Genomic DNA, 23,998 nt, shown 5'->3' on the forward strand with positions numbered 1-23,998 from the left:
CTCCCTCCTCCCTCTCCCTCTTTCTTTCTAGGTAGTGTTTCTAAGGAAATATAACACAAGCTTCTTGGTCTGTGACTTCCGGCTATTTGGATCCAATGCAATTGTGCCTAGATCCTTCTATTTCTTTCCAACATTCTTCCAAATGTTCGTAGGTTTAAAATTATTTTCATTGGTCCTACTTATGGGAACAATTCTTATTAGTTCACAGCAGTACAGAACAAACAGCATCTTTACCCCCAAAATTGCAAGCTTCTTGGATGAGCTGACATTTGTCTCTGGGAATAAGGGGTTAACCAATCTAAAAATAATTAAACCTCACATGCACATGATATAATTTTTCTTACTCAAAATGCCTTTATAATGTCTCAACATCACTGTGAGATGCTTGAGCAGATATTTTTGTTTCTTCTAAAGCTACGCTACAATAAAATGTAAGGTAGTAGCGAAGGTTAGACTCTTGACATTCTTTGATTATTCAAACTGTTTGTTAAACTGATTTTTTTTGCTTTTCCTGTAAAGTGCCTTTTGAGTCGTATTTTATGCTGTTGTTGTTAGCAGTGAAGTTTCTATCTAGCAAGATATCTGCAAACCTCGTACCTAGTAAGAAGTAGAGTGTTGAATTTGTTAAATATTTATCTTTCATATTCTAGCATTATATTTACTTTCCAGAGATAGTGTGATGTCATGAATAAATACTGACATTGGAATCAGAACTCCCAAGTTCAAGTTCAAAGCCCACCAATTTTACTTACTGTGTAATCTTGGACAAATTGTGTAATCTCTCTTGGTCTGTTTATAACACTGTTTAAAAGAAGATAAAGATACCCACCTCACAGGATTTCTGTGGGGATTAAATCTGACTAATGCAAAAATCTTGTGTCTAGAATGTAGTAAATGCTCAATAAACAAGTATCATTGTTGCTGCTGTTGTTGCTACTGTTACAGCATTCAACACAACTTTATAATCTATTAAGTTCTAAACTATGACAATTACTGATTAGTATGTGAAATTATAAGAAACTATTTTGTAGCTCTTGCGATCTCCTTTATTTGCAAATGAGAGAAACCCAGCTATATGACTTTTATTCATTCAACAAACACTGAGCACTTCTCTTTGCCAGAAGCTATTCTAGATGCTGAGGTTAACAGTAGTGAAAACACAAAGTCCCTTGTTTTATGGTGCTTACATTCTAGTAGAAAGAGAGAAAATATAAAGAAAAAAGGAAAAGAGAATATCAGATTGTGATAAGATACTTAACCTAGTATATAGATTGTTACTAAAGAATCAGAGATAACTTAGATTTAGGGGAGAGAGAAGTCTTCTCTGAGGCATTGGAATGATGAAAAGAAACCAGTTGTGCAAACATTCTGGGCAGAGATGAGCAAATGCAAGGCCTTAAGGCAGACAGCAAATTTGACAGTTTCAAGGAAAGAAGACTTAATGAAGGAAGAAGATGAGTTGGAGAGATGGACAGGGGACAGATCATAGAGTCTTGTAGACCATGATAAGAAGCCTGGATTTTATTAATTATTGTAAAAGCAATTGTAGAAAGTTAAGCATGGGAATGGCATTAACTCATTCAGATTCTTAAAAGAGTGCCCTATGTGCTGCGTGGAGTTGGAGAATATGTTATAGGTTGTCAAGAGTAAAAGCAAGGAGACCAGTTAGGAAGCTGTTGTGATAGACCAGGATGTGAAGAAAAGGAGAAGAAAAGGAGTAGGCAGATGGGAGATTTATTTTAGAGGAAAAACCAGCAGGATTTGGTGATAGATTGGATGTTGGAGGTGCAAAATAGGGACGAGTCAGGTTTCTGGACTGAACCATGAAATATGCAATTGGTGGTACTATTTACTGAGATGGGAAAGCCCAGGTTAGGGGGTAGGGGCAGAGAGGAGAGGAGAGGGATGAGTGTTGTGTTGGACAAGTCAGATCAAAATGACTACCAGACAGCGGAGAGGCATTGTTGATCAGGCAGCCAGATCTATGGGTGTAGAGGTAAGGGCTACACTTATAAATTTACAAGCCATCAACATAAGTGGTATTTAAAACCATGAGACTAGATGAGATCACCAAGAGAGTGAATAGATAAAGACAAGAAAATGGCTTGGGACTGAACCTTGGGGATGCCAAGATTTAAACGTCATTTAGAAGAGGACGATCCTGGAATAAAAGGCAATTCATTAGCCCAATAAACAACCCAGATTTGGCAAGAGTGGGTCTGACCTCAGGGACAACAACACTCAGGGTCTACAGTGCCATTGGAGTGCTGCCGTCTTTCTTTGCCACTCTGGGTTCTCCCTCACTGTCTCTCCCCGTCAATCTTTCAACTCAGTCTAATTCCATCTGTAGTCTTCATTACAGAATTTTTCTATTTGAAGGAAACATAGCCACAGGCAGCTCTGAATTTCATCTTAGAAAAAGTCTTCCTCCCAACTTAAGTGTGAAATATCCTACAGAAGATCACTGATTTGTCCGGGTTTGGGTCACAAGCCCATCCTTGGAACCAGTCACAGGCCAGGAGAACAGAATAACACAGTTGATTGGCCCAGCCTGGTTATGTGCTTCCTGGGGTCTAGCGTGGACTTTCTTATTAGAGGAAAGTAGCACACTTGCAGTTGCTGATGGAATCATTGAGCTAGACAGTCTTTTATTTTTTTTAATAATTATTTTTTTCTTTGTTCACTGCATATCAACACCTGTGATACGCAGCCTTTTGAAATTTGAGTCTAATTCCTAATTGTAAACTTGATGTGTCTGTCTATATCTCCAAGTACAGTATGACATGACATGATGCCGTGGGGTTTTAGTTCTTCCTCTTGTTTGATATCTTTAATCAAGTTTAAATAAATACACTTTTGCTTATCTAAAGTTGAGATTGATGTACTCAACAATTATACTGGAAAGTAAAATGAGTCATGGAAATAAAAAAGATAATTAAAAAAAAACGGAGAATTAGGAACCTTCTGCAGACATGAAACCATCTGATTCCAGGGGTGATGTGTTTACAGAGAGGCCGTGGTGAAGCAGGGCCCGCAGGTCCCCAGGGTGTGAGATCAGCATCTCTCAAGGAAGATCAGACGACTGCTTCTCCACCAACCTGTCTACTCAGCGCTCTCCTGCCTGCAACAGGCTCAGCCAAGGCCAGAGGCAGGGGCCACACGGCCTTTGTCAATTGTTCTGTACACTCAGTAATTGCCTTTTTGATTCCAGCCTGGGCCTGTTCCCATTTGTTTTACCCCTGTGCAGAAAAAATAATGAAAGAATTTATTTCTAAACCTACACACTTCAGGGGACTAAGAAAAACTGACAACCCGAACTTACTAACTAAAAAATGAGGATGTGGATAGCACATTTTATAATAGTGACAGTTGGCCTATTTAAGATGCACACTTCAGTCGCTGTATTAGTCTGTTCTGGTGGCTATAACAAGATACCTTAGACTGGGTAACTTATAAACAGCAGAAATTTATTTCTCACAGTTCTGGAGGCTGAGAAGCCTGAGACCAAGGCACTGGTGGTATCTGGTGAGGGTTCTTTTCCTCATAGATGGTGCCTTATAGCTGTGTCATTAAAAGGTAGAAGAGGCAAACAAACTCCCTCAGGTCTCTCTCTCTCTCTTTTTTTTTTTGAGATGGAGTCTCACTCTGTTGCCAGGCTGGAGCACAGTGGCACAATCTGGGTTCACTGCAACCTCCACCTCCTGGGTTCAAGCAATTCTCCTGCCTCAGCCTCCCGAGTAGCTGGGACTACAGGTGTGTGCCACCACGCCTGACTCATTTTTTGTATTTTTTCAGTAGAGATGGAGTTTCACCATGTTGGCCAGGATGGTCTCAAACTCCAGACCTCGTGATCCGCCCACCTCGGCCTCCCAAAATGCTGCGATTACAGGCATGAGCCACCATGCCCGCCCCCCTCAGGTCTCTTGTATAAGGGCACTAATCTCATTCATGAGGGCTCCATCCTCATGATCTAATCACCCCCCAAAGGTCCTCCATTTAAAACTGTAACATTGAGAATTAGGCTTCAAAATATGAGTTATGGGGGAACAAAACATTCAGACCATAGCAGTCCTCCTCTATATCTACTCTACAAAAGGGCAGTTTCAAAGGTATTCAACAGGCTGTCCCTGCAATGCACCTGACTGCAGTCTGCAGCCTCTAAGACTGCTCAGTCAGGTTGTTGTTTAAAGGTACTCCCTTTTAACTTTCCCAAAGGAAGCTCATCAAGTATCAGGGAAGATTTCTAACCACTCCATTTCCCTCTGCTCCCTATTCCCATAGTCTGTACTGGAGAGTGTGGCCTCAAGGTTAAGAGATTTGCTCTGGGATTTGCCAAGGTCTATGGTTTTGTCCCTTTATAGCCTTCACTCAGGAAACTGTGTTATCATCTCCAGCTAGATTCTATGGTCTGCAGTCTTATCTTTAAGGAACATGAAATGATCAAATCCTTGCCTACCAAGAGGCTGAAGAGGACAACATCAATAGACAATTAACTTGCCATTCATTGTGGACTGTCTGTTCACCATAAAGCAATCACATTTTATGAGTGCAGAGGCTGGTTTTTGGTTTCTGTTCATTTTGGGTTTGGGTGTTATTTCTTTTGTTTTTGTGTGAGTGTATTTGCATTGTCACTTTTTATTTGCCCCTTAAAATGATTGGTCTTAGAGAGAAGTCTTCATTTTTGTCTACATAGTAGAATCAAGATAAGGAATAAGAACCAGCTTAGATTGGGGTCAGCAAGAAAATTACTGAGTGAGTTGCTTTGTAGCTCTTCTTCCTTCTTTAACAAAGTTTAATATTGTTGTGTCCTTGTAGGAAAATGCCCCAGACCTGAGATGTGGCTGGAGGAGGAAGACCAGGGCTTCCTGAACAAAGGCTTCAGATGGAAAGAACCACAGATCTTGGCAAACTCCACACTCTGTAGACTACTATCCAGATCCTATGGATTAGATTCATGGATGCTGAAGGAATTTGAAAATGTAATTTCCCTTATGAAACTCCCAGGGGATGTTTTCTCTTTAGAGTATATTTCTATCTTCTTCTTCTTTGGAGTGGGGGTCTAAGGAAGATTTCTCTCTTGTAGCTGCTAAGGAGGTAGTCAGATTAGGTACAATCAGAGCTCACTCCTTAAATGTAAGACAAAATGAAGCTTTCTCAGTGATTCCCAGGATCTCTCCCACAGGCTAAACAAGTAACCTTGGGTTACTTTTTGGGACCACAAGGAGTTTTTTTTTTTTTTAAAAAAGGTAGGGAGGGAGATAGGAACAGCTCTGGTCTACAGCTCCCAGCATGAGCCACGCAGAAGATGGGTGATTTCTGCATTTCCAACTGAGGTACTGGGTTCATCTCACTGGGGAGTGCCAGACAGTAGGTGCAGGACAGTGGGTGCAGCGCACCATGCACGAGCCGAAGCAGGGCAAGGCATCGCCTCACCCGGGAAGCACAAGGGGTCAGGGAATTCCCTTTCCTAGTCAAAGAAAGGGGTGACAGACACCACCTGGAAAATCGGGTCACTCCTACCCTAATACTGAAGCTTTTCCAACCAGCTTTAAAAATGGCATACCAGGAGATTATATCCCACACCTGGCTCAGAGGGTCCTACGCCCACGGCGTCTCGCTCAGTGCTAGCACAGCAGTCTGAGATCAAACTGCAAGGTGGCAGCGAGGTTGGGGGAGGGGCGCCTGCCATTGCCGAGTTAGTTGCTTGATTAGGTAAACAAAGCAGCCGGGAAGCTTGAACTGGGTGGAGCCCACCACAGCTCAAGGAGGCCTGCCTGCCTCTGTAGGCTCCACCTCTGGGGGCAGGGCACAGACAAACAAAAAGACAGCAGTAACCTCTGCAGACTTAAATGTCCCTCTCTGACAGCTTTGAAGAGAGTAGTGGTTCTCCCAGCACGCAGCTTGAGATCTGAGAACAGGCAGACTGCCTCCTCAAGTGGGTCCCTGACCCCCGAGTAGCATAACTGGGAGGCACCCCTCAGTAGGGGCAGACTGACACCTCACACTGCCGGGTACTCCTCTGAGACAAAACTTTCAGAGGAACGATCAGGCAGCAGCATTTGCAGTTCACCAATATCCGCTGTTCTGCAGCCACCGCTGCTGGTACCCAGGCAAACAGGGTCTGGAGTGGACCTCTAGCAAACTCCAACAGACCTGCAGCTGAGGGTCCTGTCTGTTAGAAGGAAAACTAACAAACAGAAAGGACGTCCACACCCAAAACCCATCTGTACGTCACCATCATCAAAGACCAAAGGTAGATAAAACCACAAAGATGGGAAAAAAACAGAGCAGAAAAACTGGAAACTCTAAAAATCAGAGCGCCTCTCCTCCTCCAAAGGAATGCAGCTCCTCACCAGCAATGGAACAAAGCTAGACAGAGAATGACTTGGACGAGTTGAGAGAAGGCAGCTTCAGATGATCAAACTACTCCAAGCTACAGAAGGAAATTCGAACCAATGGCAAAGAAGTTAAAAGCTTTGAAAAAAAAATTAGACAAATGGATAACTAGAATAATCAATGCAGAGAAGTCCTTAAAGGACCTGATGGAGCTGAAAACCAAGGCACGAGAGCTACATGACGAATGCAGAAGCCTCAGTAGCCGATGCGATCAACTGGAAGAAAGGGTATCAGTGATGGAAGACGAAAGGAATGAAATGAAGCGAGAAGAGAAGTTTAGAGAAAAAAGAATAAAAAGAACAAAGCCTCCAAGAAATATGGGACTATGTGAAAAGACCAAATCTACGTCTGATTGGTGTACCTGAAAGTGATGGGGAGAATGGAACCAAGTTGGAAAACACTCTGCAGGATATTATCCAGGAGAACTTCCCCAATCTAGCAAGGCAGGCCAACATTCAGATTCAGGAAATACAGAGAACGCCACAAAGATACTCCTTGAGAAGAGCAACTCCAAGACACGTAATTGTCAGATTCACCAAAGTTGAAATGAAGGAAAAAATGTTAAGGGCAGCCAGAGAGAAAAGTCGGGTTACCCACAAAGGGAAGCCCATCAGACTAACAGCTGATCTCTCGCCAGAAACTCTACGAGCCAGAAGAGAGTGGGGACCAATATTCAAAATTCTTAAAGAAAAGAACTTTCAACCCAGAATTTCATATCCAACCAAACTAAGCTTCATAAGTGAGGGAGAAATAAAATACTTTACAGACAAGCAAATGCTGAGAGATTTTGTCACCACCAGGCCTGCCCTAAAAGAGCTCCTGAAGGAAGCACTAAACATGGAAAGGAACAACCAGTACCAGCCACTGCAAAAACATGCCAAACTGTAAAGACCATCAAGGCTAGGAAGAAACTGCATCAACTAACGAGCAAAATAACAAGCTAACATCATAATGACAGGATCAAATTCACACATAACAATATTAACTTTAAATGTAAATGGGCTAAATGCTGCAATTAAATGACACAGACTGGCAAATTGGATAAAGAGTCAAGACCCATCAGTGTGCTGTATTCAGGAAACCCATCTCACATGCAGAGACACATATAGGCTCAAAATAAAGGGATGGAGGAAGATCTACCAAGCAAATGGAAAACAAAAAAAGGCAGGGGTTGCAATCCTAGTCTCTGATAAAACAGACTTTAAACCAACAAAGATCAAAAGAGACAAAGAAGGCCATTACATAATGGTAAAGGGATCAATTCAACAAGAAGAGCTAACTGTCCTAAATATATATGCAACCAATACAGGAGCACCCAGATTCATAAAGCAAGTCCTTAGTGACCTACAAAGAGACTTAGACTCCCACACAATAATAATGGGAGACTTTAACACCCCACTGTCAACATTAGACAGATCAAACGAGACAGAAAGTTAACAAGGATACCCAGGAATTGAACTCAGCTCTGCACCAAGCAGACCTAATAGACATCTACAGACCTCTCCACCCCAAATCAACAGAATATACATTCTTTTCATCACCACACCATGCCTACTCCAAAATTGACCACATAGTTGGAAGTAAAGCACTCCTCAGCAAATGTAAAAGAACAGAAATTATAACAAACTGTCTCTCAGACCACAGTGCAATCAAACTAGAACCCAGGATTAAGAAACTCACTCAAAACTGCTCAACTACATGGAAACTGAACAACCTGCTCCTGAACGACTACTGGGTAAATAATGAAATGAAGGCAGAAATAAAGATGTTCTTTGAAACCAACGAGGACAAAGACACAACATACCAGAATCTCTGGGACACATTCAAAGCAGTGTGTAGAGGGAAATTTGTAGCACTAAATGCCCACAAGAGGAAGCAGGAAAGATCTAAAATTGACACCCTAACATCACAATTAAAAGAATTAGAAAAGCAAGAGCAAACACATTCAAAAGCTAGCAGAAGGCAAGAAATAACTAAAATCAGAGCAGAACTGAAGGAAATAGAGACACAAAAAACCCTTCAAAAAATTAATGAATCCAGGAGCTGGTTTTTTGAAAGGATCAACAAAATTGATAGGCTGCTAGCAAGACTAATAAAGAAGAAAAGAGAGAAGAATCAAATAGATGCAATAAAAAATGATAAAGGGGATATCACCACCGATCCCACAGAAATACAAACTACCATCAGAGAATACTACAAACATCTCTACGCAAATAAACTAGAAAATCTAGAAGAAATGGATAAATTCCTCGACACATGCATCCTCCCAAGACTAAACCAGGAAGAAGTTGAATCTCTGAATAGACCAATAACAGGCTCTGAAATTGAGGCAATAATCAATAGCTTACCACCAAAAAAAGTCCAGGACCAGATGGATTCACAGCCAAATTCTACCAGAGGTACAAAGAGGAGCTGATACCATTCCTTCCGAAACTATTCCAATCAACAGAAAAAGAGGGAATCCTGCCTAACTCATTTTATGAGGCCAGCAACATCCTGATACCAAAGCCTGGCAGAGACACAACAAAAAAAGAGAATTTTAGACCAATATCCTTGATGAACATTGATGCAAAAATCCTCAGTAAAACACCGGCAAACTGAATCCAGCAACACATCAAAAAGCTTATCCACCATGATCAAGTGGGCTTCATCCCTGGGATGCAAGGCTGGTTCAACATACACAAATCAATAAATGTAACCCAGAATATAAACAGAACCAAAGACAAAAACCACATGATTATCTCAATAGATGCAGAAAAGGCCTTTGACAAAATTCAACAACCCTTCATGCTAAAAACTCTCAATAAATTAGGTATTGATGGGACGTATCTCAAAATAATAAGAGCTATCTATGACAAACCCACAACCAATATCATACTGAATGGGCAAAAACGGGAAGCATTCCCTTTGAAAACTGGCACAAGACAGGGATGCCCTCTCTCACCACTCCTATTCAACATAGTGTTGGAAATTCTGGCCTGAGCAATCAGGCAGGAGAAGGAAAGAAAGGGTATTCAATTAGGAAAAGAGGAAGTCAAATTGTCCCTGTTTGCAGATGACATGATTGTATATCTAGAAAACCCCATTGTCTCAGCCCAAAATCTCCTCAAGCTGATAAGCAACTTCAGCAAAGTCTCAGGATACAAAATCAATGTACAAAAATCACAACCATTCTTGTACACCAATAACAGACAGAGAGCCAAATCATGAGAGAACTCCCATTCACAATTGCTTCAAAGAGAATAAAATACCTAGGAATCCAACTTACAAGGGACATGAAGGACCTCTTCTAGGAGAACTACAAACCACTGCTCAAGGAAATAAAAGAGGATACAAACCAATGGAAGAACATTCCATGCTCATGGGTAGGAAGAATCAATATCATGAAAATGGCCATACTGCCCAAGGTAATTTATAGACTCAATGCCATCCCCATCAAGCTACCAATGACTTTCTTCACAGAATTGGAAAAAACTACTTTGAAGTTCATATGGAACCAAAAAAGAGCCCACATCGCCAAGTCAATCCTAAGCCAAAAGAACAAAGCTGGAGGCATCACACTACCTGACTTCAAACTATACTACACGGCTACAGTAACCAAAACAGCACGGTACTAGTACCAAAACAGAGATATAGACCAATGGAACAGAACAGAGCCCTCAGAAATAATGCCGCATATCTACAACCATCTGATCTTTGACAAACCTGACAAAAACAAGCAATGGGGAAAGGATTCCCTATTTAATAAATGGTGCTGGGAAAACTGGCTAGCCATATGTAGAAAGCTGAAACTGGATCCCTTCCTTACACCTTATACAAAAATTAATTCAAGATGGATTAAAGACTTACATGTTAGACCTAAAACCATAAAAACCCTAGAAGAAAACCTAGGCAATACCATTCAGGACATAGGCATGGGCAAGGACTTCATGTCTAGAACACCAAAAGCAATGGCAACAAAAGCCAAAATTGACAAATGAGATCTAATTAAACTAAAGAGCTTCTGCACAGCAAACGAAACTACCATCAGAATGAACAGGCAGCCTACAGAATGGGAGAAAATCTTTGCAACCTACTCATCTGACAAAGGGCTAATATCCAGAATCTACAATGAACTCAAACAAATTTACAAGAAAAAAACAACCCCATCAAAGAGTGGGCAAAGGATATGAACAGACACTTCTTAAAAGAAGACATTTATGCAGCCAAAAAACACATGAAAAAATGCTCATCATCACTGGCCATCAGAGAAATGCAAATCAAAACCACAATGAGATACCATCTCACACCAGTTAGAATGGCGATCATTAAAAAGTCAGGAAACAACAGGTGCTGGAGAGGCTGTGGAGAAATAGGAACACTTTCACATTGTTGGTGGGACTATAAACTAGTTCAACCATTGTGGAAGTCAGTGTGGCGATTCCTCAGGGATCTAGAACTAGAAATACCATTTGACCCAGCCATCCCATTACTGGGTATATACCCAAAGGATTATAAATCATGCTGCTATAAAGACACATGCACACATATGTTTATAGTGGCACTATTCACAATAGCAAAGACTTGGAACTGACCTAAATGTCCAACGATAGACTGGATTAAGAAAATGTGGCACAGATACACCATGGAATACTATGCAGCCATAAAAAATGATGAGTTCATGTCCTTTGTAGGGACATGGATGAAACTGGAAACCATCATTCTCAGCAAACTATCACAAGGACAAAAAACCAAACACCGCATGTTCTTGCTCATAGGTGGGAACTGAACAATGAGAACACATGGACACAGGAAGGGGAACATCACACACCAGGGACTGTTGTGGGGTGGGGGGAGGGGGGAGGGATAGCATCAAGAGATATACCTAATGCTAAATGACGAGTTAGTGGGTTCGGCACACCAACATGGCACATGTATACATATGTAACAAACCTGCACGTTGTGCACATGTACCCTAAAACTTAAAGTATAATAATAATAAAATAAAAAAAATGCAAAAAAAGAGAAAGAAATGGCTTTAAAGACCACACACACAAAAAAAAGGTAGGGATAGGGGGTGTCTCTTCTCCAATAGCCTCATCATTGTGATCATGAAGAAGAGAAAATATGCAGATTCCAACTATCACAACCAGGCTAGGGGAAAAGAATGGTGAGAAAAATCCAAGCATGCAAAATAGACGGAACGAGGCAAACAGCCAGGCAGTGGTAGGAAGTCTTCAGGCAGATGGCCGGGCCTTACCCCTGGGTTGGGATTCAGGTAGGACTCCAGCCTCCACACTGGGGACTTACAAGTGCAAACCCCACACTCAAGGGTGCTGAGAGGGACACAAGAGTATCAGCAAGGACAGGATCCAGGCACCAATACTGAGGGCACAAGGAAGGGCTGGGCTAGATGGCATTGCACTGTGGTCACCAGTCGTAGGGCCAGAGAATGCAGTTAGTATGGGTTGCATCCTTAGCTCTGTCACTTATTACCTCCATGACCTTGGGAAAGCCACTGTACTTCTCTAGGCTTCAGTTTTCTCATCTGTAAACTGAGGATAGTAATGTGTACCTTAGAGAACTGCTGGGAGAATTAAATTAACTATCGCATGCTTAGCACAGTGTCTGGCACATAGCAGACACTCAAAAAAATGATAGCCATTATTATCACAAAAATCAGTAGAAGCCAGTTTAATCAGAAAAAGGACACAACGAAAGAAGCATATTATCCAGATTAGCGTTGAGAGCAAATTGATTTTTAATCACACACAGTGGAGTTTGAGCTCTTTAAATTCCTCCTGCCCCAGGCCAAGATTAGTCCTAGCGCCTGGGAGCAGAGCTAAGTCCAGAGGTGATCAAGTGGCCCCAGCTGAGGACAAAGGGGGATAGCAAAGGCTGAGAGCTAGACAGGGCCTGACAGTAGCTTAGCCATCTTTGGGTAGGTTATAGGATAGCATCTGGAAAAGGGATATCACTTGTTCTCACTTCTGTCCCAGAGCATATCTAAAGAGACAAATTACAGTTTAAAATAACAACTTTCTAATAATTAGAATTATTTTCAATGTAGAGCAGGTGGCACTGGAAAGGGGCAAGCTCAGTTTTATAGAAATGTTCCAGCAATGATGGATATGTGGAAGTTCTAAGAGGAGAAATCTGAGTTAGAAGTTACACTGGTTGACTTCTAAGGTGCTGTGGAGATGCTAAGGTACCATGCTCTGTTGGAATCATGCCAGCTTTTGAGCAAAAACCTAAGAAATTTCCAGCAAAGTTTCAGGGCTTAAACCTGGTCTGGTAGGTTTTGGTACCCTTGAGAGAATCACCTTTTCCAGGGCTTAATAGAGATGGTGGCCCTTCTGCAGGGCTGTCAGCTTCCCAATCACATTGTGCTGCTTCTGATCTTTGCAAAAAATGAGATAGTGGTGTTGCTGGGAATGGAGTGAGGGTGAAGGTGGGGGAGAAGGTGGCAAGAGAAGAGGAAGTGGGAAAAAAATAGATGCACTTTGAAGCCTGCAATTAGTTTGTACTGTGTTATTTCCATAAAGTAGACCTCACACTTGAGATCTGAAAGGTAAATCATCGGAGATGTCAGAGCCTGACTATAAATAGCCAAGCTCCTGGGCTTATGGCTGCACCCTGGGGAGAGAGGCCGGCAGCGAGGTGCCCTGCTGGGGCTCTGGGGGTCAGGGCCACACTCCCTCAACTCATCCTTATTAATGCCAACTCCCAGAGAATCTTGATAGCTATTTATGCCCTGATCAACTGTAATTGCTGCACTCATCACAGGAAAACATCCTGCAGGAAGACTAACTTCACTAGACAAAGCTGCTGTATCCACCCAGTGGTTATAATCAAAAAGGTGTAATCACAGGTTCCTCCCAGGAGCTGCCATGAGATCCTCCCTCTGGCGTCTCCCTCATTCTAGGATCTGTTTGTCTGGGCTCATCTTCAGGTAGCTGCTCCCAGCTTCCTCCTTGTAAATCAGACCATTCATCTCTCTGCCATGTCCACAGAAGGCCTGAGGAGGGACCAGGCCAGGCTGGTTTGCAAACAGAAGCTTGGGAATCTCCAAACACACGCCCCTTGGAACAGGCTCATAATCTGATGGCATCTGCGAGCTGCAGCTCAAGCCAAGACTCCATACTGTGGGCTTCCTTGCACCAGCTCAGTGGCTTTCTCATCTGTGCATGTTCATTTATGTGCATGCATGCATGTGGGATGGGGCATGTCTGGGGGAGTTCATCTTCAGGTGCACCTTGCACAGTCTCCGGCCTCCACTGATAATGTATCTCATACATACTATGTGCAATTATCTGTCAAATGCTACAAATGTTGCAATGAATAAAACACATTTTAAAGTATGGCTTTTTGTCATTACATGGTTTCTTGATGAATCGATACTTAGAGAAAAACTACTTTGATGTGGGAGATTTCAAGGTATTTTTAGCATTAGAAAGAAGAAAAACATTGGGAACCATTGCTTTACTAAGCAAAAATCCACATGAAGCCATTACGATAGGGCTGTTTTTATGCTGTGCATATTTCAGAAATTTAATATAAAGATTAAACTTGCAGCTTGCACAATTAACAAAATGTGCAAAGAGAACCTTACGCTGTTCCTGAGTCTCACTCTATCTTTGACTGTACCTCTCTCCATGTGCAGCCTACTGCACAGGACCAGGCACATAAGACATATCAGTCAGAACTTGTTGACATGTTCCTTCCCTGAGCCTCTCTGCCCATTTTAGATCCCTAGGTCATCTCTAACTTCAGTTTTTCTGATTCTTGTAAACATTGAAAGCCACCCAGGTAAGATCAAGTGGGGTTCAGCAAGAACAAAATTATGCCCCAAGCTCCTTGACCTTATGAGCATTTCAATGGTTTCAATGGTTTGATGAAGGGGGTGGAAATGTTGTGGGATGGGTCTAGCTTAGGTCCCCTTCATATGAGTGATCCCTCTACCGGAGGGTATATTGCAAAGTGCATGGGCTTTAGAGCAGAAAAATATGCATGCCCATCCAGGCCCATCCATTATTAGCAGCAATTAACCTTAGGCAAATCACTTAGCCTTCATTTACTTGTCTACAAAACACCGTTACTGTAGGCTAGGCATGTATGTACCTATTAATGTAAGTTCACTTCCCTTCTCCCTTATCGTTTGTCCAAAATTTGGTGAGTTTTTTGGTACTCCTAACTAATTTTGGGCAGCAGGCATAGTCCTTACCCTAAAGATAGACAGGTATAATGCAACTGGGCGAGTGATATATGCAGGGCCAGTTTCATGGGTGTGTAGTCACTCAGTGCCCTGTGCTCAGAAGGACTCAGTCCGCAGTTTAAGGGACTGCTGTTACTGTCCTGAAGTTTTTCTTGAAACTTTTAAGAAAAGGACCTCTTACTTTAATTTTGCACTGGGATCTGAAAATTATGTAGCCAGTCTTGGATATATACATACACAACACCCTTTAAGAACATACATGCAATGGACTTGTCAGCATGACCCAAGGACATGCGAGAATGCTGATGGAATACAATGGTAAGGAGAGGTTTCCTGGAATTGATCAGAAGAGGAAGACAATGAATGATAGAACTCAAAAATAATGAGAATTCAAAAGCACATTTCTCAGCATGTTCCATCCCAACAAAGAATAGGGCCCTTCTGCTCCAGCCTGGATCCAGAGAACTATTGGGCCCCCTAAGCAAGCTGTCCCCAAAACCTGCCCCTATTTTCAGAGGTTAAGTTTGCTCTCCTGAAATTGTTGAAAGTTTTGATTTGAAGAAGTGGCCTCCAATGGCTTCATTCCAAGCCCTAAAGTCTCTGCAATACCTAATTTGACTTTTGATTTATCTAAAATTGTCAAAACTGATTAAATGTATGTTTTCTGCTCCTTTCCACCTGACACATCCACCTCTACCTGTCCCCTTTACCCAGGCTGTTTCCACATTAGGAATGTGTCTCTTTTCCTCCTGTTCATGTTTAAATCCTGGCTTTGTTTCTTACTAGCTGTGTGACTTTGGCCAAATCACTCAACCTCTCTGTGCCTCAGTTTCCTTATGTAAAAAATGGGGATAATAATAGAGCTGAACTCATAGGTTGTTGTGAAAATTCAAAAAGTTAATGCATATAAAGAGGTTGGAATCATGCCTAGCACCTAGAAAAGACTCAATAAATGTTGTAATTATTATTATCAGCTTTTATCCCTACACAGCCCCATCTAACCTATCATGAAACCCTAGTTTCTACTGCTGAACACTCTCACATGTGCCCCAAATTCTCCATCTTCCTTTCATCACTTTACTGCAGGCCTCTGTCTCCTCTCTCTTGAATTCTGCTGCAGCTTCCAAACTGAATCCCAAGTTCCAATCCTCATCCTCCCCACAATGGCTAGCACACTCTTGGCATGCAGTAGGTGTTCAATATATATTGAATGAATTGGTTAGTGAATGAATGAGGAATGAAGGACAGCAGTAGAGTGGAAGTTCTAAAGGGCAAACCTGCCCACCTCTGTTCTGCTGAAACTCCTCAATGCTCAGAATAAAACCCAAACTCTTTAACTGAGGCCTTCTTGCTCTGGCTTCTTCTCAGTTCTTAAGCTTCCCCTCTCACTATTAACCTCTCTGTGGTCATGCCCCAGCTCCCCAGCTCCCCAGCTCCAGCACTGTGCCTGCGGGTTACCTTTCTCAGAACTGCTTTCTCTCCTTGGCCTTTGCTCATCTGTTACTCTCTCTACTGCTTCCCCATTGCTATCCTATTCCCACATCTGGCCATCTCCTGCTCACCTCCCATAACTGAGCTTAGATGTTCCCTCCTGAATCCCCAAGGCTGTATCAAGTATCTCTGCTACACATCCCACAGTACATATTTCCCTTGTTCGTTTTCTTTTCTTTTTTTGAGACGGGGGTCTTGCTCTGTTGCCCAGGCTGGAGTACAGTGGTATGATCATAGTTCACTGCAGCCTCGACCTCCAGGAATCCAACCATCCTCCTACTTCGGCTTTCCAAGCAGCTGGGCCTACAGGTGTGCACCACCACACCCAGCTAATTTTAGTTTTATTTAAAAATAGAAACAAGGTCTTACTATGTTTCCCATGCTGGTCTTGAATTCCTGGGCTCAAGCCATCCTCCTGCTTCAGCCTCCCAAAGTGCTGGGATGACAGATGTGAGCCACCATGCCCGGCTGTGTTTCCCTTTTCCTTGGCAGTCTCTCCTACTAGAATTGAAACTCCTCCATGGTCAAGACTATGCCTTACTCATTTCCCTATTTTCAGTATCTATCACAGTTCCTAACATAGAATGGACATTTAATAAATGATGATTTATCAAATGAATGTTGCCCTGTAATTCCTTTCTTTCCATTCTGCCATTCCTCTGGATTGTAAGGATATCAATTGTGGGAGCCTTGGTTTATTCGTATTGGCTTGTGTATCCCCAGGGTCTAGCACAGTGCCAGACCCACCGTAGGCATGTAATGCATATTTATTAAATACATTAATAACTTTAAGATGTTTAAATTTGAGTCTATCAATCTATACATATTTATCATGTGCCTTTCACAGGCAAGATATCCTATTAGCATAAATTGCCAGACGATACACAGTGACAGGCTGAGGGAGAGGAAATTCCAGGCTGAGAAGACAGCATGGAGACAGATGGTGAGCTATTAAACAACATGGAGACTTTGGGGGATGGTAGAAGGCAGTTAGGGTGGGGGAGTGTCATAGCAAGACATAAGATTGAAAGGGTTTGGACTCTAATCTATAAGTAATAGGGAGCCATTGCAGGTTCTTGAGGATGGGATAGACAAGGAACAGCCTAGGTTTCAGAATAACAATCTGAGGAGTAGAGGAAATCATGGATTAAGGTGGCATGGGATGTGAGGCAAGGAGACCAGGCAGAGGCCACAGCAGCAGTGACAGGACAGAAAATATGAAAGTGGGGAAGGAGAGAGGTGGACTTAAAGGTGACCACTGACTCCAGGAGGCAAGTAGCGTTGGCGAGTCTGAAGATGACTGGGGTCTAAACTTGGAGAGTAAGAGGATAGCAACACTGTCACTTTGGAGGAAGAGCAGGTTGATGGAGGCAAGTTTGAATGTGCTGCTGGGGAACAGGTAATGAGCTAGCGCTTGGATGCTTTGGGAGGGATGAACAGTCCCTGGAGTATTGCATGGCAGGCAGCTGGAAACCAAGGCTCCAGGGAAGAGACAGGGTCAGCGGAGCTGCAGAGAGCAGTGAAATGTGGGCCCCTCATCTAGTACTACATCTCCAGGAAGGGGTGCAATTAAGGATGTCGGGACTTGAAGGGGAAGCAGGCAAACTGAAGGCTGCTCAGCTGCAGCCTTTCAGGGTAATGTTCACAAAATGTAATCGTTAGTGAACAGTGTTGGAAAACACCAAACTACAAAACCTGACATTTCTGAATAGCAGGCAAGCAGGCGAAGGGGGCTCCCACAATCAGGCTGGGCACCTCTGCTGCTTCCTTCAGAACCTAATTGAAATGCAATGCAGAAGGCACTTCCACCGAGGCAGGAGCAGGATGCTGTGGAGGAGCTGAGGGGGATTGCAAATGCCCTCCTGTCTAAGCATCCTGCTGTCCTGCATGAACAGGGGCTGGGGAAGGAGAGGGAGAGGGGGAGAACAGGAAGGGTTTAGTGGGGCTGCGGGATTCCCCCACCCCCAAAACATAGCACATAAAGAGGTAAGAAAGCCAAAGATTTCTGTCAATTGAGAAAGCTTCTGCAGCAACAGAGATATCAGCTCAGGAGCCAAACTGCCATTTCTGCTTTAATTGGAGCCTCTCCGTGAAGGTTGGGAAAGCAATGAGAGAGGGGTGGTGGAGAGAGGGCGAGGGAGAGAGAAAGAGTCAGAAACAGAGAACAAGCTGGAGAGAAACAGCAGCACAAGAAAAAGAGACAGCAAGAGATCTTCTGCAGAAGGAACAACCCTCAAACAGTTCCTAGGCAGCATCTCAAAGCTTCTTCTATGGGTCAGGTTGCTGGTTAGACCACAGGGGGAGGCCACATGTGTGGGGTGGCCCCTCCATGTGGGTGCACAGGTTCTGTACCGGGCGAGAAATGAGAAGGGGAGGGGTCTGAAGTTTATTAATATTCTCTTCCTTCTTTGTCATTTATTAAAAAGGTAAAAAAAATCCTTTTTCATTTTTTCTCCAGTGCCCTGACTACTTGTGAAGCCCACATAGTTTTCACTGCATCAGGGAAGCTCAGCCCACGGAAAGCCAGGGCATATATAGATCTAATAAAACCTAAGCCTCTGCAGCTTCCTCAGCTTTGCAGGTAACCGATGGAGCAGGGGCACAGCCCTTTCTGCCTCCACCCTGCCCAGGCCCCTTAACCCTGAGCTTTCCTGAAAAACTGAGAGGTGCATCAGAGGCAGAGCCTGAAAGGAAAGAAATTTAACGAGGTGATAAGAAGAAAAGAAGCCGTGTGTGTGCATGTGAGTGCCTCAGTGTGTGCATGTGTGTGACACATAGAGAGAGAGAGAGATCACAGATTAGACATTATATAAGGAAGAGTGAAGAGGAGAAGGGGAAATAGAGATAAGGAATAAGATATAGACAGTGGGAAAAGGGCACACAAAGGCAGCATTTGAGCATAGCTAACATTTGCTTCTTGTGCCTGGTCTCCTAAATATCCACAGACTTATTAAAATAGAGTTTGAGAAAAGCCTTCAGGAATCACAAATTCAACCTTCATTTTACGGATGTAAAACCGGAGGCATTGATGCTCAGGGAAGCTAAGAACCTGTCTTGCAGTTACAGAACTTGTAGGCAAAGGTTAGGATTTGAAACTGGATTTCTCAGCTTTCGTATCTGTGCCCTGAGAGCCTAGCACAGTAATTTCTGTGGTTTGGTCTTGTGGATGTGTCATCATAACTACCACTGAGTACTTACCATGTGCCAAGACCATGTGCCAAGTATTGCCTAAATACTTCACATATGTTACCTCATCTAATCTTCACAACAAACTTAACAGATAAGTAGTAGTATTTTCCACATTTCAGAGTTGAGGAAAAGGCACAGAGAGGTCAAGTAGATTGCACAAGGTAGCAAAGCAGGTAAAAAGGAACGGGGATAGAAACAAAGGCAATCTGATTCAAGTGCTTATTTTTACCCACTTTGCTAAGCCAACTCTCAATAACAAGGTAACAGGTGAGTAAAAAAGTCCATGTAGTTATTCTAATCAAAAGGCAGAGGATAGACCATTCTCTTTCCAGAATGCCAAAGCCTCTGAACTATGAAGGCAAAGAGAATTTCTCATGGCTCCCCTGATGTCTCCTGGTTCATGTGCCTCACCCAAGATTACAGTTCAGTCTAATGTTCAGTCGGGAGGGTGGTCCATGTCCTCACCTCTCAATAGCACTGTTGCTGAGCCAGGCTTCATCCAGAATATGAGCTGCCTTCATGAACGCACAGAAGAACATGGACTGAGCATCTACCCTGGGGCAGGCCCTGTGGTAGTCACAGGGGACGGGGTCCTCATCAAGTTGACCCAGCAAAGAGCTTTTCCTCAACAATCTCTTAGTCTCTTAGGGGAGCTAATACATGTACACAAATAACTGTACCACAAACTAGAGAGTCGTAAGTAACACCAAGAAATATCCTGAGAGAGTGCTAAGAGGCTTTGGGGTGGGGCACCTGGGAGGACTTCATGCAGGAGATGAGCATCAACTTGGTTATCAAGGAGTCAACAGAATTTGGCTGTGCAAAGGTGGGAAGGAGATAAAATGGCATTCTCAGTAGGAGAAATGCTTGTGTAAAGGAAGGAGATAAAATGGCATTCTCAGTAGGCGAAATGCTTGTGCAAAGGCTCAAAAATTTTAAAAAATGTGTGGACAGTCCCCAACTTACAATGATCTGACTTAACAATTTTTCATCTTTATGATGGTGTGAAAGTATTATGCATTCAGTAGAAACCATACTTTAAATGTGGAATCTTTATCTTTTATATTTATTACAATATTTTATTTTTATTTTTATAAAATAAGCTTCGTGTTAGAAGATTTTGCCAAACTGTAGGCTAATGTAAGTGTCATGTTTAAGGTAGGCTAGGCTAAGCTATGACGTTCAATAGGTTAGGTGCATTAGATGCATTTTTGACTTAACAATATTTTCACTTTACAATGGGCTTATTGGGATGTAACTCCATTCTAAGTGTAGGAGCATCTGCAGAAGGATCTCAAAGGGCTTCCAAGGATGGGTGGAACTTCCTCAGAAGGGGACCCCCAGAACCACAATGCATTTTCCATTTCCTCCCAGTAAGATGACCTTTCAGTTCCAGCCCTGCACAAACAGGCCATTGGGAGGCACGCTGTGCTCAGAAAGGCCAGCATTTTATTAAGTGTATGTCAAACCCTGCATGCGCACTACCTCCTGCAAACCTCACAGCCACCCTATGCAATAAGTACAGTCATTATCTTCATTTTACAGACAAGAAGATGGAAGCCAGAAAGGTTAAACAGCTTACCGCAGACAGATGGCCAGTAAGGGGTGAGGCTGGGGCTCAACCCCAGGCAACCTGACAACAGAGCCCACACTTGAGACCACTGTGTCATTTTGCCACCTGTGTGGTCTTTGGAAACCGGCTCTTGGAAAGCAGGCACTTAGGAGGGCTGTTCTGTTCAGTCCTCACCTGGGAATGAGATTGAAACTAAATTATAGCAATGACGAAGGGGCCACGGGCTCCCCACTGGGTTAGGAAACCTGGGATTCTGCACCTTCTGCAGGAAGCTGTGAAGTCTGTATGTGTGTTAATAACACTTTGTTCCTAAAGGTTTCTAGGGACTATAGAGTGCTCATTCCAGCAAACTAAACATGCTTAAGGTGCAGATAATCTGTAGAGCTCTAGTTACACATACCTAAGTGTTGATCAGCAGAAAGCTTGTGTTCATTTCTAAACCATGTCTAACATCTTAGCACTCTATTGTGAATATCTAATATATAAATTCCACCGTGGGGTTTCAATCCTAGAGAGCCTCTCGGTCTTTCTCCTTTCCCTCTCTCCCCCCTCCCCTTTCCACTCTCTCTTCTTCCTCTCCTCCTTCTTCCTTCTTTTCCTCTGCTGTCTTCCTCTCATCATGAGCTACTAGGGAATCACTCCAAAGTCCCAACAGCATTTACACAGAAAATTTGCATCTCTAGATTTTAGAACCCACTCCAGAACTGAACTCAGGGGCCCAGGATTCCCACAGCTCAAAGACTTGCTGACCGTCCAAGACCATGTCCTGTTTCTTTTCTGCGTCTTATTGGCTTACATGGAAAGAGAAGGTATTGAGGGGTGGCCAAGGCCTTAGGCTTGAGGATAAAGTGGTCAATTTGTGTTCTTCCATGTGAGCCATTTCACGTGTCTGCCAGAGACAAGATCTGGGGCAGAATGAGGCCGGGAGATGACTCATCCCAGCTCACAGTGTTTCTAGGAGGGAAGCTGCTTGTCTTGAGGCCCAGCTGCCTCAACCTGGCACCTGCAGCCTAGAGCTGCTCCCTCCTTGCTGAACCCAGCAGCAGCAGCAGCAGCAGCAGCAGCAGCAGCAGCAGTCCCAGCACTAGAAGCACCTGTGCCCCGTCACCCCACCCCCATCTCCCCTCCCCCACCACCTGGGCACCTGCAGCTCTCTTCAGTAACTCCTTTCCAACCCGGCCAGTCTCCACCAGGGCTGCAGTTGATGAAATCTGGGAGCTATTTTGAAATTTCCCTTTTTTAAAAAAAGTCCAAACTGATTAGTTGATAATTACATGTTGGAACATCTGCTCTGATTTGTTTTATTCCTTCTATTTTGGAAAATTGGAATACACTGAAGTTTTGCCTTCTGGAATTGCCGGCCTGGCTCTTGGAGTGTGAGCAGCCCTCCCGCTCGGCAGCACCTGGCTGGGCCCACAGCCCAGCTCCCAGGGAAAAGCACAACTCTTCTGCCTGCGGTGGCAGCGCGTTGTACCTCCCCACCCCAACCTTGGCCTGGCAAGGGTTACAAAACCTCACTCTCTGTTGTGACACTAGGAGCCTCCATTTGCCCTACCTGCCTCCAAAGTTTGGGGGTCCGTGAGGAGCACAGACTCAGCAGAGCCTGGAGCTGGATTGAGGTGGGGCATGACAAAGCCCAGTAGGGTGTTCCTGTAACACCCTGGGCAGCAGTTGGTTACTTTGCTGGTTTCTTTTCTTTCTTTCTTTTTTCTTTTTGAGAGAGTGTCTCGCTCTGTCCCCCAGGCTGGAGTGCAGTGGCGCAATCCCGGCTCACTGCAAGCTCCACCTCCAGGGTTCACGCCATTCTCCTGCCTCAGCCTCCCGAGTAGCTGGGACTGCAGGCGCCCGCCACCACGCCCGGCTATTTTTTTTTTGTATTTTTAGTAGAGACGGGGTTTCACCGTGATAGCCAGGATGGTCTCAATCTCCTGACCTCGTGATCCACCTGTCTCGGCCTCCCAAAGTGCTGGGATTACAGGCGTGAGCCACCGCGCTCGGCCTACTTTGCTGGTTTCCTTCTGGAAGTACCTACACGCTCCCTGCCTCCTTCAGTAGAGGGCAGGCCCATACTTCCCAACACATGCTTGCTATTATTTAGAGGCTGAGGCTTGCTCAGGTTTGCTTATGGCAGAATCCTGGCATTGAAAACCATCGCATCTCCAAGCTCCAAGTGGCTGCCATTCGGAGGTGAGTGGCTGCTCAGAGCCTGAGAAGAGACACAGCAGGGTTGAGGACTTGCATGCTTACTGTCATCTCTTCATCAGTTAGCATTTCTAGACTGCTTATGCAGTACTAGGGGCTTGGCATGAGAGGAAGGGGAAAGGCCATGAAGGTGAATCCAAAACAGACTGTACCCTCAAGGGGATCATTGCTGCCTCTCTCCAATCCCTTCTCCATCTCGCAGCCAGAATGACCATTAAAATCTAAAACACAAATATGATTATGTTACTCGCTTACTTTTAAACCCTTCAATGGCTCCCTATTGCCTTTACGATAAAGTCCGAAGTCTTTTACTTGGCATGCACGGCTCTCCTAGGTCTGAGCCTGATTCCCCGGCCAGCTTCACCTTCCTCAGTCTTCATCCCGTCTCAGACCCCATGCTCCAGCTACACTGCCTCATTTGCAGTGCTCTGGATGGTCCCTGTCCTTTCTTGCTCATGTTGCCTTCACACATGCTGTTCCTTTCCCCTGGACTACTCCTCTTCCCTCTTCTCTTTGTTCCTTCACCTGGATCACTCCTACTTATCTCAAGTCTTCACCTAGATGGAAATTTCTCCAGCATCCTCCTCAATCTTTCCAAACTTCTAAGGGTTAGGTGCCCTACCCATGTGGTCTTGTAGCATTCTAAATTTCCTTTATGACTTGCATCATACTTTACTGACGCTGCCTGATTACCTATCCATCCTTCTGTCCAGATCAAAAGCCAATGGAGGACAGATACTACACTTTCATTATTGTACAATCTCAGGCAACTAGTGCAGTGCCTAACATATGATGGGGCCCTATAAATACAGTTGGCCCTCCATGTGCAGGTTCCACATCCAGATTCAACCAGCTGAATCAAAAATATTCAGAAAGAAAACAATAACAAAAAATGACACAACAATGAAAATACAGTTTAACAACTATGTAGCATTTACATTATATTAGGTAAT

At 43.7% G+C, this 23,998-nt stretch overlaps 1 protein-coding gene and 1 long non-coding RNA gene across 4 annotated transcripts in view; one reads left to right on the forward strand and one right to left on the reverse strand.

The window, feature by feature from the left end:
- Nucleotides 1-13,736, forward strand: part of NXPE2 (neurexophilin and PC-esterase domain family member 2) — a 349,427-nt gene extending 335,691 nt beyond the window's left edge. Inside the window, exons 6-7 of one of the 3 annotated variants that reach the window (XM_017017212.2) lie at nt 4,816-4,979; nt 13,389-13,736. In XM_017017212.2, coding sequence (XP_016872701.1) covers nt 4,816-4,979; nt 13,389-13,397 — 173 coding nt within the window. In that variant the 3' untranslated portion in view covers nt 13,398-13,736. Of the gene's footprint in view, nt 1-4,815; nt 5,266-13,388 lie in introns of those variants that run through there. The other 2 variants (XR_001747769.2, XM_017017211.2) reach the window with 2 other exon arrangements.
- Nucleotides 1-23,998, reverse strand: part of LOC105369506 (uncharacterized) — a 95,796-nt gene that overhangs the window by 22,996 nt on the left and 48,802 nt on the right. The window lies entirely within an intron of this gene.

Source organism: Homo sapiens, chromosome 11 (genome assembly GCF_000001405.40).
Source record: "Homo sapiens chromosome 11, GRCh38.p14 Primary Assembly".
Classification (NCBI taxonomy): Eukaryota; Metazoa; Chordata; class Mammalia; order Primates; family Hominidae; genus Homo; species Homo sapiens.